At 47.8% G+C, this 23,074-nt stretch overlaps 4 annotated features.

Moving 5' to 3' along the window:
• Positions 15,456–15,750: a silencer, noted in NCBI's record as "tiled region #10026; K562 Repressive non-DNase unmatched - State 7:EnhWF". NCBI's record gives its function as "represses a minimal TATA promoter and a strong SV40 promoter by Sharpr-MPRA in K562 cells {active_cell/tissue: K562}" and the evidence as "EXISTENCE:reporter gene assay evidence [ECO:0000049][PMID:27701403]".
• Positions 20,976–21,270: an enhancer, noted in NCBI's record as "tiled region #2667; HepG2 Activating DNase matched - State 5:Enh". NCBI's record gives its function as "activates a minimal TATA promoter and a strong SV40 promoter by Sharpr-MPRA in HepG2 cells {active_cell/tissue: HepG2}" and the evidence as "EXISTENCE:reporter gene assay evidence [ECO:0000049][PMID:27701403]".
• Positions 20,976–21,290: a biological region, named in NCBI's record as "Sharpr-MPRA regulatory regions 2667 and 7132".
• Positions 20,996–21,290: an enhancer, noted in NCBI's record as "tiled region #7132; HepG2 Activating DNase unmatched - State 5:Enh". NCBI's record gives its function as "activates a minimal TATA promoter and a strong SV40 promoter by Sharpr-MPRA in HepG2 cells {active_cell/tissue: HepG2}" and the evidence as "EXISTENCE:reporter gene assay evidence [ECO:0000049][PMID:27701403]".

The following is a 23,074-nucleotide window of genomic DNA, read 5'->3' on the forward strand; positions in this document are numbered from 1 at the left end:
GGCGGGGAGCATTGACCCTCGGTCTGTTTGTTCTCCCTAAGCTTGTTCTCATAAAATTCCTTTATAATGTCACCTGTGGGCAACATCCTCCTGTCCTTGCCTCCATTCCCTTGTGCCTTGGGGCACTGAAGCCTGTTCTGTTTTGTTTTTTGAGATGGAGTTTTGCTCTTATTGCCCAGGCTAGAATGCAATGGCGGGATCTCGGCTCACCACAACCTCCACCTCCCGGGTTCAAGTGATTCTCCTGCCTCAGCCTCCTGAGTAGCTGGGATTACAGGCACCCGCCACCACTCCCAGCTAATTTTTGTATTTTTATTAGAGACAGGGTCTTACCATGTTGGCCAGGCTGGTCTTGAACTCCTGACCTCAGGTGATCCATCTGCCTCGGCCTCCGAAAGTGATGGGATTACAGACACGAGCCACTGCACCTGGCCTGAAGCCTGTTCTTTGGTTTAGAGTCTAAGTAAATAATTACAGCAAGGTGGGGGAAGGGGTGGCTCACACCTGTAATCCCAGCACTTTGGGAGGCTGAGGTGGGAGGATCACTTGAGCCCAGGAGTTCAAGACCTGCCTAGGCAACATAGTGAGACCCTATCTCTACAGAAAATGTCAAAATTAACCGGGTGTGGTGGTGCATGCCTGTAGTCCCAGCTACTTGGGAGGCTGAGGCAGGAGGATCTCTTGAGCCCAGGAGGTTGAGGCTGCAGTGAGCCATGATGGTATCACTGCACTCCTGCCTGGGTGATGGAGTGAGACCTTGTCTCAAAAAACAAACCTGCTGGGCGTGGTGGCTCACACCTGTAATCCCGGCACTTTGGGAGGCCGAGGCGGGAGGATCACGAGATCAGGAGATCAAGACCATCCTGGCTAACACAGTGAAACCCCGTCTCTACTGAAAATACAAAAAAATTAGCCAGGCATGGTAGTGGGCGCCTGTAGTCCCAGCTACTCGGGAGGCTGAGGCAGGAGAATGGCATGAACCCGGGAGGCAGAGCTTGCAGTGAGCTGAGATCGCGCCACTGTACTCTAGCCTGGGGGACAAAGCGAGATTCCGTCTCAAAACAAACAAATAAACAAACAAAACCTATAGCTGTGGTTCTTCACCTTGCCTACGCAGGATGTGTATAAAGTGAGTATTTGTCTTAGCTGTACTTATGTCAGGGAAAAGGCATGTGGATTTAAGCAGCATTTTAAAAAGCTCGCTTAACATCTCAAACACCTGGAGCCACTGGGAAACTGAGAGCTGACAGTGCCGGAAATCACAAAATGACAATTACCCACATGGTGAAGGGAAGAGCTGAGAAGAAAACATCAGCTACCCTGCTTTCCTGCCTCTTTCGTAATAGTCTCAACTGCTTATTTATGAGATGTGGTTTGTCAAGATAATGAAAGGAGCTGAGAAGATTGGGAAAGATGCTAAAACATGAACAGGCATATTCTTATGTGAACCTTTGTGATTTCCTATGAGCTCTTCCTGCTTCACCATGAAGCTGGTGGGCATCATGAAGCCAGTGAAATTTCCTAAGAGTTTATGGACCCAATATTCTTTTTCATTTCTTATTTACTGAAGACACTAATGAAGCAATGATTGCTAAGAGGGCGTTCTGGTAGCAGTCACTATCAGGGCTATAATAGCTACCCTTAGTGGAGTGCTTAGTGTCAGGATCTGTTTCAGGCATTGAAATACATTAAGTCTTGTCATCCTCAGCACAGAACTGTAAGCCAAGCATCACTATCCCCATGATACAGATGGAGAAACACACTCTCAGTGAGATTAAGGAACTGGCTCACGCATATAACTAGTGCAGGCAGAGTGGGGTCTTTACCACTCATGCAGTGTGGATATCTGTCCCTCCAGATCGCATGTTGAAATGTGACCCCCAGTGTTGGAGGTGGGACCTAAAAGAGGTGTTTGGGTCATGGGGGTGGATCCCTCATGAATAGCTTAGTGCCTTCCCTGCAGTAATGAGTGAGTGCTCTCTCTACTAGTTCACAGAGATCTGGTTGCTAGTCTGGGGCCTCCCTCCTCCTACTCTCTTGCTCCTTCTGTGGCCATGTCACAGGTGGCTTCCCTTCCCTTCAGCCACTACTGGAAACTCCCTGGAGCCCTCCCCAGAAGCAAATGTTGGCACTAAGGCTTCCCGCACAGCCTGCAGAACCGTAAGCCAAATAAACCTCTTTTCTTTGTAAGTTACCCAGCCTCAGGTATTCCTTTATAGCAATGCAAAATGGGCTAAGACACCCATTGAGTTCTGCTGCCCAGAATGGAGAAGTATGACTGGCACTGCTGCACATATTCATTCAATGAGAAAATATCTCGATTACACCAAGCATCTAGTTGTAGAAATGAGAAGAGGTGCCTGCTGAACATTCTGGAAACTCACTCCTTTTTTGTGCTGTGAGTTCAGACTGAACAGGATCAGCAAGCATAACTGTATCTGTGTTCCATGCCTTATCCTCCAGCAAATACCAGGAACATTCTGGAGTTGAAGCTGTTTCCACTAATAGCCAGAGAACAGTCCAGTTCTAACAGAGGTGCCAGGGATGCTCTCTCCTGGAGAGCACTGAATTTCCTGGAGACAAAGTCTTCTGGGAGTATTTCTAGGAAGAATAACTTTTTTTTTTTTTTTTTTGAGACAGAGTCTCACTCTGTCGTCCAGGCTGGAGTGCAGTGGCGCGATCTCGGCTCACTGCAACCTCCACCTCCCGGGTTCAAGCGATTCTCATCCCTCAGCCTTCCAAGTAGCTGGGACTACAGGCGCGTGCCACCATGCCTGGCTAATTTTTTTTTTTTTTTTTTTTTGTATTTTTAGTACAGACAGGGTTTCACCGTGTTAGCCAGGATGGTCTCAATCTCCTGATCTTGTGATCCGCCCGCCTCGGCTTCCCAAAGTGCTAGGATTACAGGCGTGAGCCACTGCACCCCGCCGGAAGCATAACTTTTCAACGTTTGTGCAGATAACACCCTGAGGGGCCTGGCCCATGACTACAGAGGAAGATCATCTATGATTGAAATAATTAAAAGACCGGAGTTCCCTGCTAACTTTGAATATGATTTGGCCAAGTGCCGGGTCCTAGAGAAAACAAGAGCCCATCAGCAGGCAGGTCTTTATGGGGAAAAGGTGCCCCTCCTTGTGCTCTCTATAAAGACAGGGAGCCTTAGCTGGTGGACTTGTCAAGGGATGAGTTCTCCAAAAGCAACCAGTGAGATGGAGTTTGAGGCGCATGATACTTATTAGAGATCCACACCTAGGAAGGGAAGGAGGAAAAACTGATGGGGCAGAGGAAAAAACTGAACTGTGTTGTGGGCCCAGCACAGCCTCAGTCTACCTGGAGGGCACCCTGGAGCAACGGTGTTCATCAAGAGTGTCCACTTCAGGCCGGGCACGGTGGCTCAGGCCTGTAATCTCAGCACTTTGGGAGGCCAAGGCGGGCAGATCACGAGGTCAGGAGATCGAGACCATCCCGGCTGACACGGTGAAACACCATCTCTACTAAAAATACAAAAAATTAGCCAGGTGTGGTGGCGGGCGCCTGTAGTCCCAGCTGCTCTGGAGGCTGAGGCGGGAGAATGGCGTGAACCCGGGAGGCGGAGCTTGCAGTGAGCCAAGATCGCGCCACTGCACTCCAGCCTGGGGGGCAGAGCGAGACTCTGTCTCAAAAAAAAAGAGTGTCCTGTTCAGACTGGAATATTGGGGCCTGTGTATCCTGCTTCACCCAGTCACTGGATGAGGCTGCCCCAAGACGGCAGCAACCTTGGGTGACCCAAGATCACCCCACAGACCAAGGACCCCCAAAGAGCCAAAAGCTAGAGGCCACCCATTGACTGCAAGCCCTGCAGCTAGGCTTCACATCCTCCTTGGTGGGGAAGATGGAGGAAGGGGTGAGTCGGGCAACTCCATGTCTTCCACAGTCTTCTACCTAGGTTCTTCCAAGCTCCCCATAGCATCATCCTCTTAGGCAACATCTTTTACTAAATATTGCATTAGATACTAATGGCATCGGTCCCATATCCCTTCAGCCCTCCCTGTTTTATCTGCAGCTGTGGTTGACAGTTTTTGTGCAAGCTAACAGCTTCTCCTTTTTGCCACTGGGGTCAGTTAACTTTCAGTTACAGACAAACCTGTTTAAAACACAAACAGGCATATACCTCTTAGAAGAGAACAAAAATGTTGCCTTTTCAGATCTCAGACTTTAAGAAATTTTGGAACCAGGAATTGACAAACAGTGCTTGGAATTCAAGGAATGAACTGACCCTAGGCACTTCTAAAATAAATTCCAGCTCAGTAGAAACAATAATTTGAACTTGCATTTCCCATGAGCAAACTTTCATGATCCTGTAGCTATAACACGACTGGATGGTGAGAATGTAACCACTGCTGGTATCATCCCAACTTGTCAGCCCACAGTGTTAGCCTTTGGGCTTCCTGGGATATCTGAGTGGCAAGTTACCCATGAAATACATTAGGCAAACAGGATTCGATGAAAGGAGGAGGAAATTATTCCTACACATTGGATGTTTATATTTTAGATCTAAATTGCAGCAGGTACATATTGGTTCTTTCCTTAATCATTGGCTTATGTTGAAGTTCACATTAATAATGGAATGTTTCCTTTATAAAGAAAGACAACCCTGCTGATTTCCTGCTGTAGGACAGGCTATCCTGGAACTGGTGTAGGCTGGGCAGTTGTCTACACCCAACCCTGATCCTCTTAGTGCCATCCTTCAGATGTTAGGCCAGCACCTTCAACTACAAATTAGGCAAAGCTAAGAGACATATATGATTAATTTCATATATTAATTTTATATATTCCTATATTAATTTCCCAAAAATATTTTAAACAAAGGTTATACAATGAAGCTAATCAAATAGAAGTGGCAAATCAAGATAAGGAAAGAAAACCCAAGAATTCATGGGAGCAAAAGGGCTGTTGTAACTGCATCAGAATGTGGGCATGAGGTTCCTAGTTTCCAGAGCAGTAAAAACAAAACAAACAGCAACAGCAACAAAAACAAACCCACATAAAACCACCAAGTTACGCAGTTCTCATCAGAAAGAGGAAAGCATTCCAGATTCTTAGCAGAGATGCATTTTCCCTCCCAAATTTCTAAAATTTAAACATAACAAATTTGTTTTTTATTTTTTTATTTTAAGTTCTGAGATACATGTGCAGAACGTGCAGGTTCATTACAGAGGTATACGTGTGCCATGGTGGCTTGGTGCATCTATCAACCTGTCACCTAAGTTTTAAGCCTCGCATGCGTTAGCCATTTTCCCTGATGCTCTCCCTCTCCTCGCCCCTGCTTCGACAGGCCCCTGTGTGTGTCGTTCCTCTCCTTGTGTCCATGTGTTCTCATTGTTCAGCTCTCACTTATGAATGAGAATATGCAGTGTTTGGTTTTCTGTTCCTGTGTTAGTTTGCTGGGGATGATGGCTTCCAGCTATATCCATGTCCCTGCAAAGGACATGATCTCATTTATTTTTGTGGCTGCATAATATTCCATGGTGTATATGTACCACATTTTCTTTATCCAGTCTATCATTGATGGCATTTGGGTTGGTTCCATGTCTTTGCTATTGTGAATAGTGCTGCAATAAACATGCATGTGCATGAACCTTTATAATAGAATGATTTATATTCCTTTGGGTATATACCCAGTAATGGGATTGCTGGGTGAAAGGTATTTCTGGTTCCAGATCCTTGAGGAATCGCCACACTGTCTTTCACAATGGTTGAACTAATTTACATTCCCACCAACAATGTAAAAGCATTCCTATTTCTCCACAGCCTTGCCAGTATCTGTTGTTTCTTTTTTAATAATTGCCATTCTGACTGGCATGAGATGGTATCTCACTGTGGTTTTGATTTGCATTTCCCTAATGATCAGGAATGTTGAGCTTTTCTTCATGTGCTTATTGGCTGCAAAAATGTCTTCTCTGGAGAAGTGTCTGTTCATATCCTTTGCCCACTTTTTGATAGGTTTATTTTTCTTGTAAATTTGTTTAAGTTCCTTGTAAGTTCTGGATATTAGACTTCTGTCAGATGGGTAGATTGCAAAAATTTTCTCCCATTCTGTAGGTTGCCTGTTCTCTCTGATAATAATTTCTTTTGCTGTGCAGAAACTCTTCAGTTTAATTAGATCCCATTTGTCAATTTTGGCTTTTGTTGCAATTGCCTTTGGCAATTTTATCATAAAATCTTTGCCTATGCCTGTCTTGAATGGTATTGCCTAGGTTTTCTTCTAGGGTTTTTATGTTTTTGGGTTTTACATTTAAGTCTTTAATCCATCTTGAGTTAATTTTTGTATAAGGTATAAGGAAGGGGTCCAGTTTCAGTTTTCTGCATATGGCTAGCCAGTTTTCCCAGCACCATTTATTAAGTAGGGAATTCTTTCCCATTGCTCATTTTTGTCAGGTTTGTTGAAGATCAGATGGTTGTAGATGTATGGTGTTATTTCCAAGGTCTCTATTCTGTTCCATCGGTCTATATGTCCGTTTTGGTACCAGTACCATGCTGTTTTGGTTAGTGTAGGCTTGTAATATAGTTTGAAGTCAGATAGTGTGATGCCTCCAGCTTTGTTCTTTTTGCATAGGATTGTCTTGGCAATGTGGGCTCTTTTTTGGTTCCATATGAATTTTAAAGTAGTTTTTTCTAATTCTGTGAAGAATGTCGATGGTAGTTTGATGGGAATAGCATTGAATCTATTAATTACTTTGGGCAGTATGGCCATTTTCACAATACTGATTCTTCCTATCCATGAGGATGGAAGGTTTTTCCATTTGTTTGTGTCCTCTTTTATTTCCTTGAGCATTGGTTTGTAGTTCTCCTTGAAGAGGTCCTTCACGTCCCTTGTTAGCTATATTTCTAGACATTTCATTCTCTTTGTAGCAATTGTGAATGGGAGTTCATTCATGATTTGGCTGTCTGCTTGTTTATTGTTGGTATATAGGAATGCTTATGATTTTTGCACATTGATTTTGTATCCTGAGACTTTGCTGAAGTTGCTTATCAGCTTAAGGAGTTTTTGGGCTGAGACGATGGGGTTTTCTAAATATAGGATCATGTCATCTGCAAACAGAGACAATTTGACTTCCTCTCTTCCTATTTGAATACCCTTTATTTCTTTCTCTTGCCTGATTGCCTTGGCCGGAACTTCCAATACTATGGAAGTGGTTTTTAAATTTTTAAATGCCTAATTAAAAAATAAAATCTGGCCAGGTGCAGTGGCTTACTCCTATAATCCAGCACTTTGGGATGCCAAGGCTGGTGGATCACCTGAGATCAGGAGTTCGAGACCAGCTTGGCCAAGATGGTGAGACCCTGTCTACACTAAAAAAAAAAATACAAAAATTAGATGGGCATGGTGGTGGGCACCTATAATCCCAGCTATTTGGGAGACTGAGGCACAAGAATCGCTTGAAACTGGGAGGCAGAGGATACAGTGAGCCGAGATCACGCCATTGCACTCCAGCCTGGGTGACAAGAGCGAAACTCCGTCTCAAAATAAATAAATAAATAAAATCTAAAATTTCGAAGGTAAATTTCGCATGTGGAACTTTACTTTTCAGATACTGATTGATAATGCGTGATACTGATTGATGTAATGCGTAACAATTTTCCAGCTAGACAGAAGTAAATTTTCCATAGCTTGGCTGGGCATGGTGGCTCACACCTTAATCTTAGCAATTTGGGAAGCCAAGACGGGAGGATTGCTTGAGCCTAGGAGTTTTAGACCAGCCTGGGCAACCATAGCAAGACCTCATGTCAACTTTTTAAAATAAAAGAATAAATTTTTTAAAAAAATATATATCTCCTTCAGCTCTTATAGGGGAAAGAACATGGGTTTTGTTTTCAGGAAGACCTGGGTTTAAATCCCAACTTCACTAGTCACTATTTGAAGGATCTGGAGAAATTGTTTACTCTCTTTGAAGTTCAGTTTCCCTCTCAGGGGAGCAGAGATGATAAAATCTTCATCACAAGGTTGTCACAAGGATTACATGCAATAACATACGTAAAACTCTAATCTGGCATTTAAGAGATGTGATTTCCTTTTCCCATACTGGTATGCCCTCTTTTTTTTTTTCTCTTCGTGTATCAGTCAGAGTCCTGCTAGAAAAAAGATTGCAGAGCTGTAACATGTAGAACCAGGACCGTTTTCAAAGTTGTAGATGTTTATGGGATGGCGATGTTCCCAGAGGCTTGCAGTAACAGGGAGCCATTCTCACCTGAGCAGTAGGGATGGGACCCATCATCAGAATCTGGGGAGAGAACTGTGGCCAGGGGAGAGGGAGGGCCCCTGACAAAAGCTTTGGTAAAGGCATACCATTATTGCTAAAACCATGGCCTGTTGGGGAAGGAGCCAGGGAAATCCAGGCCGCAGGCTCTCTCTCCTCCTACATCAACAGCTGCTGCTACCTCCATCAGCCTAACCCAGCTCGAGGCCAGGGGGAGAGGTGACCTAAGTGATGTGGTCTGTAGAAGTCGTCCTCCCAGGGCACAGAGCAGGGTGGGGAGGAGTAGAATGGATCTAAAAAAACAGTCCAAGACTATCCAGCACACATGGATGAAAACCTTAATGCAAAAGGCAAAAGCAGGTCATGGAAGTACAGTTAACTGAAAGGGATTTTGTGAGGATTTGGAGTTTTCCTGTGATGACTCAGAGTAATTCCAGGGAGTACATGTATAAATAACGCGCATCTTGCACCAGTCTGGCTTTGGGATGCAGAGAGCACACAATGAAAACTGCTCTACAAGGGCCAGCCTTGCTGTAGCTTCACACTCCTCCACACTTTAGAAAACCTGCAGGTGACGGGCAGGGTGGATGAGTCTGATGTTTCCTTCTGCACCCCATGTCCACCAGAAGTGGCTCCTCCAGGCTCTGCAGGCTGAGTCCATAGACTCCCGGAGAGTTGGTACTTCGCTGACTGAGGCCCCACGTCACAGGGGTGGGCCAAGGTCAGTGAAACCCTGCACACGTTCAAAGAAGCTATTTCCACTTATCACCACCACGGGGGAGAAACAGGAATGTTTCCCCTACTGTGAAATGAGTAATGAATGGACGAATAAATATTTCCAAATAGCATACTCTTCATGTAAACCTACCTTGCTAAAATAGCTGAAAAAGTTTAAAACACATACACACATTTCTTTTTTAATGTTTTATTTTGGTCAAATATATATAACATAAAATTTATCATTTTAGGCCAGGGGCGGTGGCTCATGCCTGTAATCCCAGCACTTTGGGAAGCCGAGGTGGGTGGATCACCTGAGGTCAGCAGTTCGAGACCAGCCTAACCAAAATGGTCATAAGAGTTGAAGGAGATATAGAATTTTTTTAAAATTTTATTTTTTTGTTTTAAAAAGTTGAAATGGGGTCTTGCTATGTTGCCCAAGCTGGTCTCAAACTCCTAAGCTCCTATGGCTTTTTTTTTTTTTGAAATGGAATCTCTCTCTGTTGTCCAGGCTGGAGTGCAGTGGCGTTATCTGGCTCACTGCAACCTCTGCCCTCCAGGTTCGAGCAATTCTCCTGTCTCAGCCTCCCAAGTAGCTGGGATTACAGGCGCCCACCACCATGCCATACTAAAAATTTTGTATTTTTAGTAGAGATAGGGTTTCACCACATTGTCCAGGCTGGTCTCGAACTCCTTGACCTCAGGTGATCCACCCGCCTTGGCCTCCCAAAGTGCTGGGATTACAGGCATGAGCCACCACACCTGGACCCCTTCTTTCAATTATTTTTGGTAGATACCTAGAAGCAGAATTGTGGGATCATATGGTAATTCTATGTTTAATGTTTCGAGGAGCTACCATACTGTCTTCCACATCGGTGTGCCATTTAACATTTCACCAATAGTGCACAAGGGTTCTAATTTCTCTACATCCTTATCAACACTAGTTACTTTCTGTTTAGTTATTTTTGATTTTTGATAATAGTCATCCTAATGGGTGTGAAGTGGTATCTCAACATGGTTTTGATTTGCATTTCCTTAATGATTAGTGATATGGAGCATCTTTTCATGTGCATATTGTCCATCTGTGTATCTTCTTTGGAGAAATGTCTATTCCAGTCTTCTGCCTTTTTTTTTTTTTTTTTGAGATGGAGTCTTGCTATGTTGCCCAGGCTGGAGTGCAGTGGCATTATCTTGGATCACTGCAACCTCCACCTCCCAGATTCAAGTAGTTTTCTTGCCTCAGCCTCCCAAGTAGCTGGGATTTCAGGAATGCACCACCACACTCAGCTATTTTTTGTATTTTTTGTAGAAACGGAGTTTCACCATGTTGGTCAGGCTGGTCTTAATCTCCCGACCTCAAGAGATCTGCCCACCTCGGCCTCCCAAAGTGCTGGGGTTACAGGTATGAGCCACCACACCCAGCCTTCTGCCCTTTTTTTTTTTTTTTTTTTGACATGGAGTCTCGCTCTGTTGCCCAGGCTGGAGTGCAGTGGTGCAATCTCGGCTCACTGCAAGCTCTGCCTCCCGGGTTCATGCCATTCTCCTGCCTCAGCCTCCCGAGTAGCTGGGACTACAGGCGCCCACCACCATGCCCGGCTAATTTTTGTATTTTTAGTAGAGATGGGGTTTCACCTTGTTAGCCAGATGGTCTTGATCTCCTGACCTCGTGAATGGCCTGCCTTGGCCTCCAAAAGTGCTGGGATTACAGGCGTGAACCACTGTGCCCGGCCTCTGTCCATTTTTTAATTGGGTTGTTTCTTTTATATAATTTAGTTGTAGGAGTTCTTTATATATTTTGGTTATTAATGCCTTATCAAATACACGATTTGTAAATATTCTCTCTCATTCTGTGGGATGCCTTTTCACTCTGTTGATAGTGTCCTTTGAGGCACAAAATTTTTCAGTTTTGAGGAAGCCCAATGTAACTGTTTTCTCTTTTGTTGCCTATCCTTTCGGTGTCATATTGAAGAAATAATTGCCAAATCCAATGTCATGAACCTTTTCCCCTATGTTTTCCTCTAAGAGCATTACAGTGTTAGGACTTAATTTAGGTATTTGATTCATTCTGAGTTAATTTCTGTATCTGGTGTAAAGTGAGGGTCCAACTTCATTCTTCTGCATATGGATATTTAGTTTCCACAGCATCATTTGTTGAAAAGACTGTTCTTTTCCCATTGAACGATTTTAACACCCTTGTCATTTGACTATATATCGAAGGGTTCGTTTCTAGGCCTTCTCTTCTATTCCATTGGTCTATATGGCTAGCACCACATGATTTTGATTACTGTAGCTTTGTAAAAAGTTTCTTTTTTTTTTGAGACAGAGTCTCGCTCTGTCACCCAGGCTGGAGTGCAGTGGTGCAATCTCGGCTCACTACAATCCCCGCCTCCTAGGTTCAAGTGATTCTCCTGCCTCAGCCTCCTGAGTAGCTGGGATTACAGGCGCGCACCACCATGCCTGGCTAATTTTTCTATTTTTAGTAGAGACGGGGTTTCACCATGTTGATCAGGCTGGTCTCGAGCTCCTGACCTCGTGAAATGCCTGCCTCGGCCTCCCAAAAGTGTTGGGATTACAGGCATGAGCCACTGCGCCCGGCCAAAAGTTTTGAAATAAGGAAGTGTGAGTCTTCCAACTTTGTTCTTATTTTAAGATTGTTTTCGCTATTTGAGGTCCCTTGAGATTCCATATAAATTTTAGGTTTGTTTGTATTTCTGCAAAAAAAGTTACTGAATTTTTTATAGGAATGGCACTGGATCTTAGCAATGTTAAGTCTTCCAATTCATAACCATGGGTGTCTTTTCATTTATTTGTGTATTTAATTTCTTTCATAAGTGTTTTGTAGTTTTTAGTGTTCAAGTCTTCACACTAAAGTAAACCAAGGAAGTTATGTTCACTCCTAAGTATTTTATTATTTTTGGTACTATTGTAAATATAATTTTCTTAATTTCCTTTTTAGATTGGTCATCATGAGTGTATAGAAACTCAACTGATTTTTGTGTGTTGATTTTGCATCCTATAACTGCTTAATTCAATTATTAGCTCTGACAGGTATTTTGTATAATTTAGGGTTTTCTACATGTAAGATCATGTCACCTGCAAACAGAGATAATTTACTTCTTCCTTTATAGTCTGAATGCCTTTTATTTATTTTTCTTGCCTAATTAGTCTGGTTAAAACTTCTAATACTATATTGAATAGAAATGGTGAAAGTGGGCACCCTTGTCTTGTTCCTGATCTTAGGGGAGAAGCTTCCCATTTTTCTCCATTGAGAATAAAATTCTCTGTGGATTTTTCCTACATGGTCTTTATTATACTGAGGACACGTACACTTCTTGAGTGCTTTCCATGTGCCAAGCATTTCTAAATGCTCTGTATATATTATTTCCTTAATTGCACATAACTCTGAAATAGGCTCTATTATACCTCTTTTTTTCAGATGAGAAAACTATTGCACAGAGAGGTATGTTCTCCCTATAAATGAGATGATGTCTGTGTGTGGATTTTATTTTTACATATGGCATGTTGGTTTTATTAAAATAATGATTTATTTAGTTAATTAAACTTTAATTTTAAACAAACCAACTTTGTAGCATTATCACCCCATGTTGTGAATTTAGATCACACAATCACTTATTAGATGATAGACTGCTGCAGTACAATGCTAAAGGTCATGATTACTACATATCCTACTTAGAACACAACTGTTTGGATTTTTCTTTTATTTTTTGAGACAGAGTGTCTCTGTGTCACCCAGGCTGGCGTGCAGTGGCATGCAACCTCAATTTCCTGGGCTCAAGTGATCTAAGATTCTTAACAAACACCTTTCCGCTTAAAAATCTAATATATAGGCTGGGCACTGTGGCTCATGCCTGTATTCCCAGCACTTTGGGAGGCTGAGGCAGGTGGATCACTTGAGGTCGAGTTTGAGACCAGCGTGGTCAACATGGTGAAACCCCGTCTCTACTAAAAATATAACAATTAGCCAAATGTGGTGGCAGATGCCTGTAATCCCAGCTACTCAGAAGGTTGAGGCAAGAGAATCGCTTGAACCCTGAAAGAGCAAGATACTGTCTCAAAAAAACCCAAACAGTTTTTGTTGTTGGTTTTTTTTTTTTTTTTTGAGACAGAGTCTTGCTCTGTCGCCCAGGCTGGAGTGCAGTGGTGCAATGTTGGCTCACTGCAACCTCCACGCCTCCCGGGTTCAAATGATTCTCCTGCCTCAGCCTCCTGAGTAGCTGGGACTACAGGCACGCACCACTGTGCCCAGCTAATTTTTATATTTTTAGTAGAGACAGGTTTTCATCATGTTGGCCAGGATGGTCTCAATCTCTTGACCTCGTGATCCGCCTGCCTCCGCCTCCCAAAGTGCTGTGATTACAGGCGTGAGCCACTGCAGCTGGCCTATATATATTTTTTTAATCTGACATATTAATGTAATTTTTAATATTTGTAAAAATCATTAAAAACCTTTCCAGAGGCCGGGCGTGGTGGCTCACACCTGTAATCCCAGCACTTTGGGAGGCCAAGGAAGGCCAATCACGAGGTCAGGAGATCAAGACCATCCTGGCTAACACGATGAAACCCCATCTCTACTAAAAAATACAAAAATTAGCCGGGCGTGGTGGTGGGCGCCTGTAGTCCCAGCTACTCGGGAGGCTGAGGGAGGAGAATGGCATGAACCCGGGAGGCGGAGCTTGCGGTGAGCAGAGATCGCGCCACTGCACTCCAGCCTGGGCAACAAAGCGAGACTCCATCTCAAAAAAAAAAAAAAAAAAACCTTTCCAGGTAAGAACAGCTACTACCACTTTGTTACATGCAATAACTCAGTTAAACAGCTTAAGAACTCACTGTAGTTTAGTGGTTAAGACCCAGCACTCCAGAGCTAGACGATCTGGATTCAAGTCCTGCCTCTATTATATATATGTGTGATTAAGCCACTGCACTCCAGCCCGGGCAACATAGCGAGACACTGTCTCACGAAAAAATATTTTAAAAAAGAATGATGAAAATGTAATATGTCATTTGGGAACATGTCTTAATAATGTAATAACATATATGTAGAATAAGTTCATTTTTATAAAGCAAGCATATAATTCCATAAGAGTACAAAAGAATGGCCAGGCTTGGTGGCTCATGCTTGTAATCCCAGCATTTTAGGAGGCTGAAGTGGACAGATCACCAGAGGTTAGGAGTTCGAGACCAGCTTTGTCAACTTAGTGAAACCTCGTCTCTACTGAAAATACAAAAAAATTAGCTGGGTGGGCATGGTGGCAGGCACCTATAATTTCAGCTACCTGGGAGGCTGAGGTGGGAGAATTGCTTGAACCTGGGAGGCAGAGGATGCAGTGAGCCGAGATCATGCCACTGGACTTTAGACAGGGTGACAGAATGAGACTCTGTTTCAAAAAAAAAAAGCGGTAGCAGGAAAGGCCAGCTTGGTATCCTGTGCTGAGCAACCAGACCTGGCCCCACTCAGGGCAAGCATCGGGTGCTCTCCCACCACTAAGGCCAACAGCAGCTGCTTCCAAGTCTGATGCTATCAGGCAACACTCTCAACATCTTCCTCGCTCAGGTGTCCAAAGGGCCCTGGCCAGCCGGACACTGGGCTCAGTGTGCCCGGGAGGGAGCAACTGGGCCTGTGGCCTGCACCCCTTGGTCAGCCCAACTCGGCCACCCTGAGCAGGACTGAGGGCTGCCCCAAAGCTTCATAATCGGGGTGGTTGCAAATTACATTCTAGGCTGTGTTAGGACTACGTATTGCAAACATTTTTTTTTCCCTTTTTTGCAAGGTGGATGGATGAAAAGAGAGAGAGAGAGAGAGATAAAGGAGCATGGGCAAACATTCACTGTAAAATCCCAGTGGTGGATATAGGTGTGTTTGTGTTCATTGCACAATCCTTTCCACTCACCTATAGGTTTGAAAATTTCAACAATAAAGGATGGAAGAAAACCAAATAACTAAAGAAGAAAATTATGCTTAGACATAGACAATCAGAAGTCATGATACATCCTGGGTGACAAGTGACTGATGAGAGGGACAGACCAAGCCCTTGGGCTGCAGGGAGTCAGAGGGGCTGGTCATCAGGGAAGGCTTCCAGGATGAGGTGCCCTATGAACAGGGCTGTGAAGGACAGGTGGGCTCGGCCCTTCAAGGTGAGGCAGGGCTTGCAGGGTGCCTACGCCCCACCTGGTCCCACCTCTGCACAGGGCGCCCAGAACAGGAAGTGGCTCCTGGAGGGCCTGGGGGTTCTGCTAAGAGCCTCAGACACCTGCCAGGCTTAGAAGGGAGGCTCCTGCCAAAACCCTCCAGCCATGTGTGGGGGATGGGCTCAGGACTGGCCTGGAGCAGTGAGCCCAGCAGAGGCCTCTGCCAGGCTGCATATGAGGCCTAGGACTGAATGGGGGAGTCTGGGCTGCGTGCCTCCCTCCCTGGCCTCCTTCCTGGGCTCCCTGGAGCCCTCCTGGTTTCTTGGTGGCAGCCTGCTGAGAGGGCTTATTCTGTTGCATTTAGGTTCCAGGTTCCTGCCTTGGCCTTTCCCTGCTGTGACTGTCACCCTCCATGTGGGGCAGCTTTGCCCAAGTCAGCCAACAGCTGACAGGTCAGGGCTGTGACTGCCGGGCCACGTGAGCAGAGGCAGAGGGCTGAGCTGGTGGGCAGAGGGCACCTGTCACCTCAACTCAGCTGCCACCAGGGAAGAGTGACGACTCACATCCTCACCTGGGGTTGACAGGACTGCTCAGACGCCACAGCCTGTGCATGTCCAGGGGACATCGTCAGAGGAGCACAGCTAGCACACTGGCTGCACGACTGAGCAGCTTTAAACCAGGAGCAGCAGAAAGAGACCCCAAGTGGGAGGGGAGCTCTCTCTACTCCACCCCCATCCTCAGCTCTGCATCGGGGAGAGGTGAGTGGGGTCAGAGCCCAGGACCAATCATGGAAGTGTCAGCACAGCTCCTGTTTCTGGGACCTACCAGCTCCCAGCCCTGTGCCAGTCCCTGCACAGCTCAGTGCCCTGGGACTCACGACAGGCCTGACAGCATCCTTTCTGTTCATGGGAGGCACCTCTGGAGCTCGCTGACATTGGACAATTTGCTCCTGGTCGTGTGCCCATGGAGAGCAGAGCTGACATGGACGGTGTGTCTGTCCTCACAGCCTACTGCCAGGGCACCCTGCAGTGAGGAACTGGGAGGCCAGAACCCAGCTGCTGCTCTGGGCCAGCAGCACCCAGTCTCGTGCTGTCCCCATGGAGGGAGGACACCCAGGGCTCTCTTCCTCTCCAGCAGCCGCATTTGCATAAATGCCGGCCATGCGGAGTCCCAGTGCGCACAGGTGGAGATCAGGACAGACAGGGGTCATCACAGAGGACCACACAAGGCTGTCACCACCCATGCTGGGTACCCAGATGGCATGAGGTCACCCTTAATTCCAGACAGTAGGGACAGATGCTGGGATTGATCTTGTGGGACTGAGGTGAGCCGAGGGTGTTTGTGTGGACACCTTTGTCGGGCTATGGAGGTTTCCTTCTGCTCCCAGGGTGCTGTGGCATGTTGACGCCCCCACTTCTTGTTCTTCATCCTCTGAGATAACCGCTTGGTTCCTGTTTCCCGTTTTGTTGATGTGGTAAATTTCACAGCTATTTCACCTTCTGCACCTGCCTGGCCTTCCTGGGAGGAGCCCTGGCTGCTCCTGCCCTGTGGTCTGGGTTAGCTGCTGCTCCATGCCATTTGCTAGTGTTTTCCTGTGAGCTTCTCACACATGTCTTTTCTTGCTTTAGGGTTAAACTTATTGTTGTGAGGTAACAACACACTAATTGTACACAAGTACTCACACTGCCACCTCTGCATACTCCCCCCACACCAATAGACACTCACATTCACACTCATGTGGGCCACACATCCACACCCACCCACCCATGCACACTGGACCACAAACACACTCAACCCACCCTATACCACACACATCACACCACACACCACACACCCGAAGCACACACACCCACACACCACACACATACATAAATAGCAAACACACATACACCAAAAATACCAAAGACACACCAAACATCCCATACACACACCACACACATCACACATGCACCACACACTCCCCACTCCCCCAACACACACCCAGCACACCCCACACACACAACATAAACAGCAAACACATATACAGACACCATACACACACAGCCATGGCACACACACCCACCTCCCACTGAATGCACACACAAACTATACATACATGCCATTACACCATTTCCTTCCCTACATGCCACACGCACAAGATATCCCCATGTAGACACCCACAAATGACACACACAACACGCCCAAACACTCTAGTCCCACTGTACACACACACACCACAGACACACATAAATAGTAAACACATATACACCACAAACAGCAAACACACACCACACATCCCATACACACACACCACACACAAGCAGTCCACTCCCGACTCCTCCACACAACAAACACACACTAGACACCACACACCAGGTACCCTTCCCACACACTTCCACAGCACCCCAGCTTATGCCACATACTCTGCACATAACCCACACACGCATGCATATATGCCCCCTACACACACTCACACCCCCACACATATACAGCACATACCTCCTCGGCTCCCACACCACATACACCCACAATACAACACACACAGATGCATCACTCATGCACACCCCACACACACCACACTCACAGCACATATACACACCCCACACACAGATCACATACACATTTACACAACACACAGACCACATATTACCCTCCCCCACAGACTTCACACACATCAAGCTTCCCACAGCACAACTTCCCACACATACTACACATACTGCACCCACACAAACTACATACACACATACCACACACACCAAACACATACACACCACATACACACACCACACTCACACACTCCCCACACACATCCTCCCCCACACATACCAAACAAATGCACACACTCCATACACACATGCACTAGTGCACACCACCCTTTGGCTACCCCAGGGCCTCCGCAGCTCTCACCTCCTACACACGCAGAGGAAGGCTCCACCGATGTCACATCAAGACAGGTCTTTGACGTGAGCTGGAACACAGGAGGGGTGGGGCGGGGCAGGGAGAGTGAGCCAGGCCCCCAGCCCCTCATCTCCACCCACTCACGGCATCAATGGTGCTTCTCAGGGCCTTGAAGCCATTCTCCACTGCAAACACATGGTCCGGAATGCCTGCCATTGCTGTTATCTACAGAGAGCAGAGCTAGCTTGGACCCCCAGCCCAGGGGTGAGGATGCAGCAGACCCCCAGCCCAGAGGACAGCGTCCTGCTCCCATGCTTTGGGGGCAGCAGAATGCCAGGCTCTGAGGGCCACAGCTTTCTCCAGCCAGCAGCCCACTCTCAGGGAGTGTCTTCCGCCCTCCCCTCTGGTGTGGTGGGATTTATACGACACGTGTCATTTCTGCAATAGTCATGGGGTGGCCCAACTCACTTGGGGCAGATTAGATGACCCTTCCCAGGGTGGCCCTGGAAAAGCCACCTGGGATGCCTTTCCCTACTCTAACCCTAACCTGATCACAAGGCTCCATATTGGTGCCTGGTTAACCTGTTTGGAATTACTGGGTCTTTCCTATAATCAGCCACACCCAGGGTGTAAATGGTGGCCCCCAGGCTCTAAGCCCTTTCAGCATAAGGGAAAGAAGGCATTGAGTATTAATTACCAAAATACATGAAGCAAAATGCTGATAAATATGAACTGAACTCACTTCTTTGAGAGTGTCCAAAAATGGATGTTTCATCATTGTTCCATTGGTCATTGCAATAATCATGCTGGAAACCTTGTTGTCTGCAGGAGAAGCAAGGAGTGGCCTGCTTAGCAAAGGCCCCAGAAGTGACCTCCAAAAGCTCTTGTGTTGGGAGAAGAGCTGAGTGTTGGGAGAAAAGCTGGGGCAGGGCTTGCATGTTTGCTAGACTTGCTGGCTCCTTGCTTTTAGCACTCCCATTATCTCAAGCAGCTGTATGTTTCTCATTCACTTGATACACTGTTTCCTTTCAACCCCCACATCCTCACGGGTTCTTTGTTTGAGCACCAATAAACAGCATGGGCTCGCAAAGCTCAGGGCCTTTGCAGCCTCCACACTTGCGGTGGCCCCCTGGTCCCACTGTCTCTCTCAAACTGTCTTTTTCTCATTCCTTTGACTCCGCCAGACTTTGTCGCTCCCACGATCTGGTGTTGGGTCTGATCACCCCAACACTCCGGGACCCCTGTGGGATGCTGGGCCTGTAGCACTGATCACTCCAGGGCATGTCCAGGTGCCTCCACCTCATCCTCCAGGGGAGAGGCTGCCAAGAGCCAAGCACCTGCTACCCAGAGACCCCTAGAGTGAGGGAGGTCTCAGCCCAGCACCCATTTTACAAAGGAGGAGCTGAGAGGGGGAGGCCCCTTCTCATCAGGCTGTCTGAACCCTCACCCGCTAGCAGCCTGCACTACCTCTGCCTGAGGGCAGCTCCAGCCAGGACTCCACAAGCACAGGCCTGTCGCACAGGCAGGGGGAGGAGCAACTGGGCTCTCCTGTGGGCAGAGCCTGTGGGCAGCCCTACCGGCATCTCTGGGACCAGGAATACAGGACTCCGGGTCAGTGGCACCGGGGCGGGAGACCCCACGGCCACCTCAACGCCTTTCCCCACCAACCCTGCCTTTTCCTGACAAGAGCTGCAGGCACACAGTGGGGAGGGGAGTCAGCGGCTGTGGACAGCCTTCTGCATCATCTGAGACACACTCAAGGGATGCAAGTCACTCAGAGGGGAAACGAGGAAGGGAGGAGGAAGACTAAGGTGTGTGCAAGGGGGCAAACTCCTTGGCTCTTCTCTTGTCCTTTTCACACAGCCCAGCTGGAGGGCAAGCACCTCAGGGTTATGAGCACCAGAACTGCACACGCAGGATCCCACACAGTTCTCAGAACTCCATGGGGCGAGGGCTTACTATGCTCATTGCACCAGGGAGGGACCTGGAGCTCAGAGCAGGTGAGCAACTTGCTCCAAGAGGCAGGGCAGGTGTGGCCTTGCAGAGTCTGCACACAGAGCTCTCTGAGGCTCACGCCCAGCTCTGTTCCCCCTACAGGACCACCATGGGGACAGCAGGTGCTTAAACCTGGAGTTGAAATTTTCTAACTGCCGAATTGCCTGCAAGAAAATGAAGAAATATCTAGCCTGGACAGTGAAATGTTCCCACTGATGCTCTAAGACCTTGTCAACTAGAATCGATTCTTGGAGCTCAAGGGTGGTATACATTTCTAAATCCTGCCTGCATGGACGTGTGTCCTTCAGGCACCATTTTCTGAAGCTTGTCGAGACCCTCTTTTATTTTCTTCCTTAAAAAACTCCAAAAAGGTGGTTGACGTGGAAAGACATGGACTGTTAAAAATTAGCTCCCAAGCTCTCTGGGTGCCACTGTTAACTGTGCAAGGCCTCCTGGATGGAGGAGGAGGCCAAGCAAGGGCTCTGCCCTGCTCATTCCTCACTGTGACATTGACCATAGACTTCAGGCCTTGTGATCTCATCCCAGTTCCAGGGAATGCAGGCCTGGGGAATCTCACCAGGGCCCCACTTAGACCATCTCTGGTGACAGTGGGAGCTTCCGATGGATGAGCAACTGTGAGTCAGCAACTGCAATGGGGCCGACATTCCTAACCCTAACCCTAAGCCAGAACCAGGAATGGGCAACTGAGAGTCAGCGACTGACAATGGGGTTGACATTCCTAACTCTAACTCTAACTCTAATCTTCATGCTAACCCTAACCCTGAACCGGGGATGGGCAACTGAGAGTCTGCCACTGACAATGGGGTTGACATTCCTAACTCTAACTCTAACTCTAACTCTAACCCAAACCGTAACCCTAACAAGGGTTCTCTTGTGTTGGACACTCGATCCTTTAACAGGTAGGGCTGCATTTGGGAAAAGTCATCCTGCTAAGCCCCCAACCCTACACCCAGCCCCCATGGCCCTAGACTCCTGAACCTGATTCAGTTTCCTCCTCTCTCTTTACCCTGCTACAGGAAATACCAAATCTGCTTAATTAGACTGCCTGGCCTCTTTGACTTCCTGTGCCCTTGAAACAAAAAGACCAAAGGCTGGAGAGGCAGCCCTGATGGCTGTGCATGCACGGTCTGAACACTGATCTGCAGACTGGCTGGGGGATATAGCCTGTCAGCTGCTGTTAAAACAGACAAAATGGGCTGGGGCAGCCAGAACTGGCTCTGGTGGCAGGACTGGGACAGGCTGGGGACTTAGGGTCAGGCTAATCCAATGTGACAGGCTGAGCCTGCACAGCAAGGCTGGGCAGAGCATGGACCCTGAAGGCTGGCTTCCCACTGCGGGCAGAGAGTCCCTGCCATGGCCGGAGCTCTGAGAGCCCTGCCTGCCCAGCTCAGGAGGGGAGGAGGCCAGGTCCATCCATACCCAGAAGAGGCCATGCCCAAACCCGGCTCCCCGTCTGGGTCACCCGCCACAGTCCTCCCCCATAGACTTGCTTTTTACCACCTCACACCCACTCCAGTCTCTCTGCCAAACCCACAGCGCAGGACACACAGATCCAAGCCTCCCCCTAGCTCAAGATGCGGCAGCCCACCCTGTATCCCCTTGAAGCTGCAAGTGGGGTCCAGGCCCCCATCCAGTACTCAGTGTCCTCACCTCTCTCCTGCGCTTCAACTTCTGTGGGCCCAGTTCTGGGCATGTGCATTGGAAGCGCTCTCACCTCCCGCCAAACAGGAACTCTGCAATGTACCCTGCTGGGCCTGGGCACCTCTCTAGGCCACCTCAAGCCACCTGAGCTTGCTCCTCCTACCTCCCTCCAGTTTCCCAGCCTGGCCTGGAGCTCAGAACCCCATCCAGGGACTCCCGTCTGGGCCTGCCAGCATCCCTGCGCTAAAGTCGCACGACTCTCACCACCGGCTCTGACACTGTCTCCCTCCTGCACTGGTCAGGGCAGGGGGAACAGGCACAGAGCAGCAGCCAGCAAAGGTGTGTGTTCAAAGGACACACACCCCCGCCCTGCCAGCCCCTGCACCCCGGGAATCCTCACAGCCACCTCCCAGGGAAGGAGGCAGGGCAGAGAGAGGGCAGGGGAGTGTGAAGTAGGGAGGCTGAGAACTTCTGGAGCACAGGGGCCTGCAGGTAACCTTGCAGCCATGGGTAGGAGGATGCAGGGGAGCCGGGGCTAAGGTCAGGGTGGGTACTGTGAGTTGCCCTGACCGGCCTGCCCTGTGTGCTGTCAGGCTCCCAGCCAAGGTCTCTGGGAGCCCCTCAGCTCCCTGGAGGTCCCTCTGGCTCAGTTCATCAGGCCTCCCTTTAGGGCTCAAAGCAGCACTCACTTGTCTGAGGTGAGCCGGCAAGACGGTGTTGCTGTCCGTGGAGTAGGTGACGAAGGACATCCGCTTATTTGGGCTGAGACAGAATCAAGTACTGGTGAAAAGCCGGAGGCACCAGCTCAGAAGCCAGGGTGAGTGATGCCAATTCCCCACCTCCCACCCCAACTCTGTTATGAATTCCCTATTGTGATTGACAGGAAGGCTGACATGGTGACTTTGCGAACTGCAGCTCTTCCCAATGTCCTGCATGTTGACAACACCAGGGGGAGGCACAGGACCTGTGGAGGGGCTACAAGAGGAAGCCTCCATTTCCCTTATAACAGCCCTCACAGGGTCCCTTAAAACCACTAGACCCTGCCATTTGTTCACTGGAAGAGTTAGCCCAGGTGACTTAGGTGAGGACATTGCTGTGGATGAGGAGGTCAAGGACTGGGAGGCCAGAGTGTTGGCAATGGGAGGTTATTTGTGTGACACTGAAGTCCCCCAGGAGATGGCAGATCTGAAAGGAGATGGAAACTGTGGTGTTGCCAGAGTCTTTGTGAATGAGGGACATTCCGGTTCTCTACTGCTGTGTAACAGACCACCTACATTTAGAGACACAGAACAGGCCCATTTTATTACGCTCACAGGTTCTGAGGATGAGGCACTCAGGGCGAGTTAGGAGGGCTCCTCATGTCTGGGGCCCCATGACTTGAAGGATTGGGCACTGGAATTATCTGGAGGCTGCTCCACTCACAAGTGTGGCTCCTGGGC

Source organism: Homo sapiens, chromosome 10, assembly GCF_000001405.40.
Source record: "Homo sapiens chromosome 10, GRCh38.p14 Primary Assembly".
NCBI classification, from domain to species: domain Eukaryota; kingdom Metazoa; phylum Chordata; class Mammalia; order Primates; family Hominidae; genus Homo; species Homo sapiens.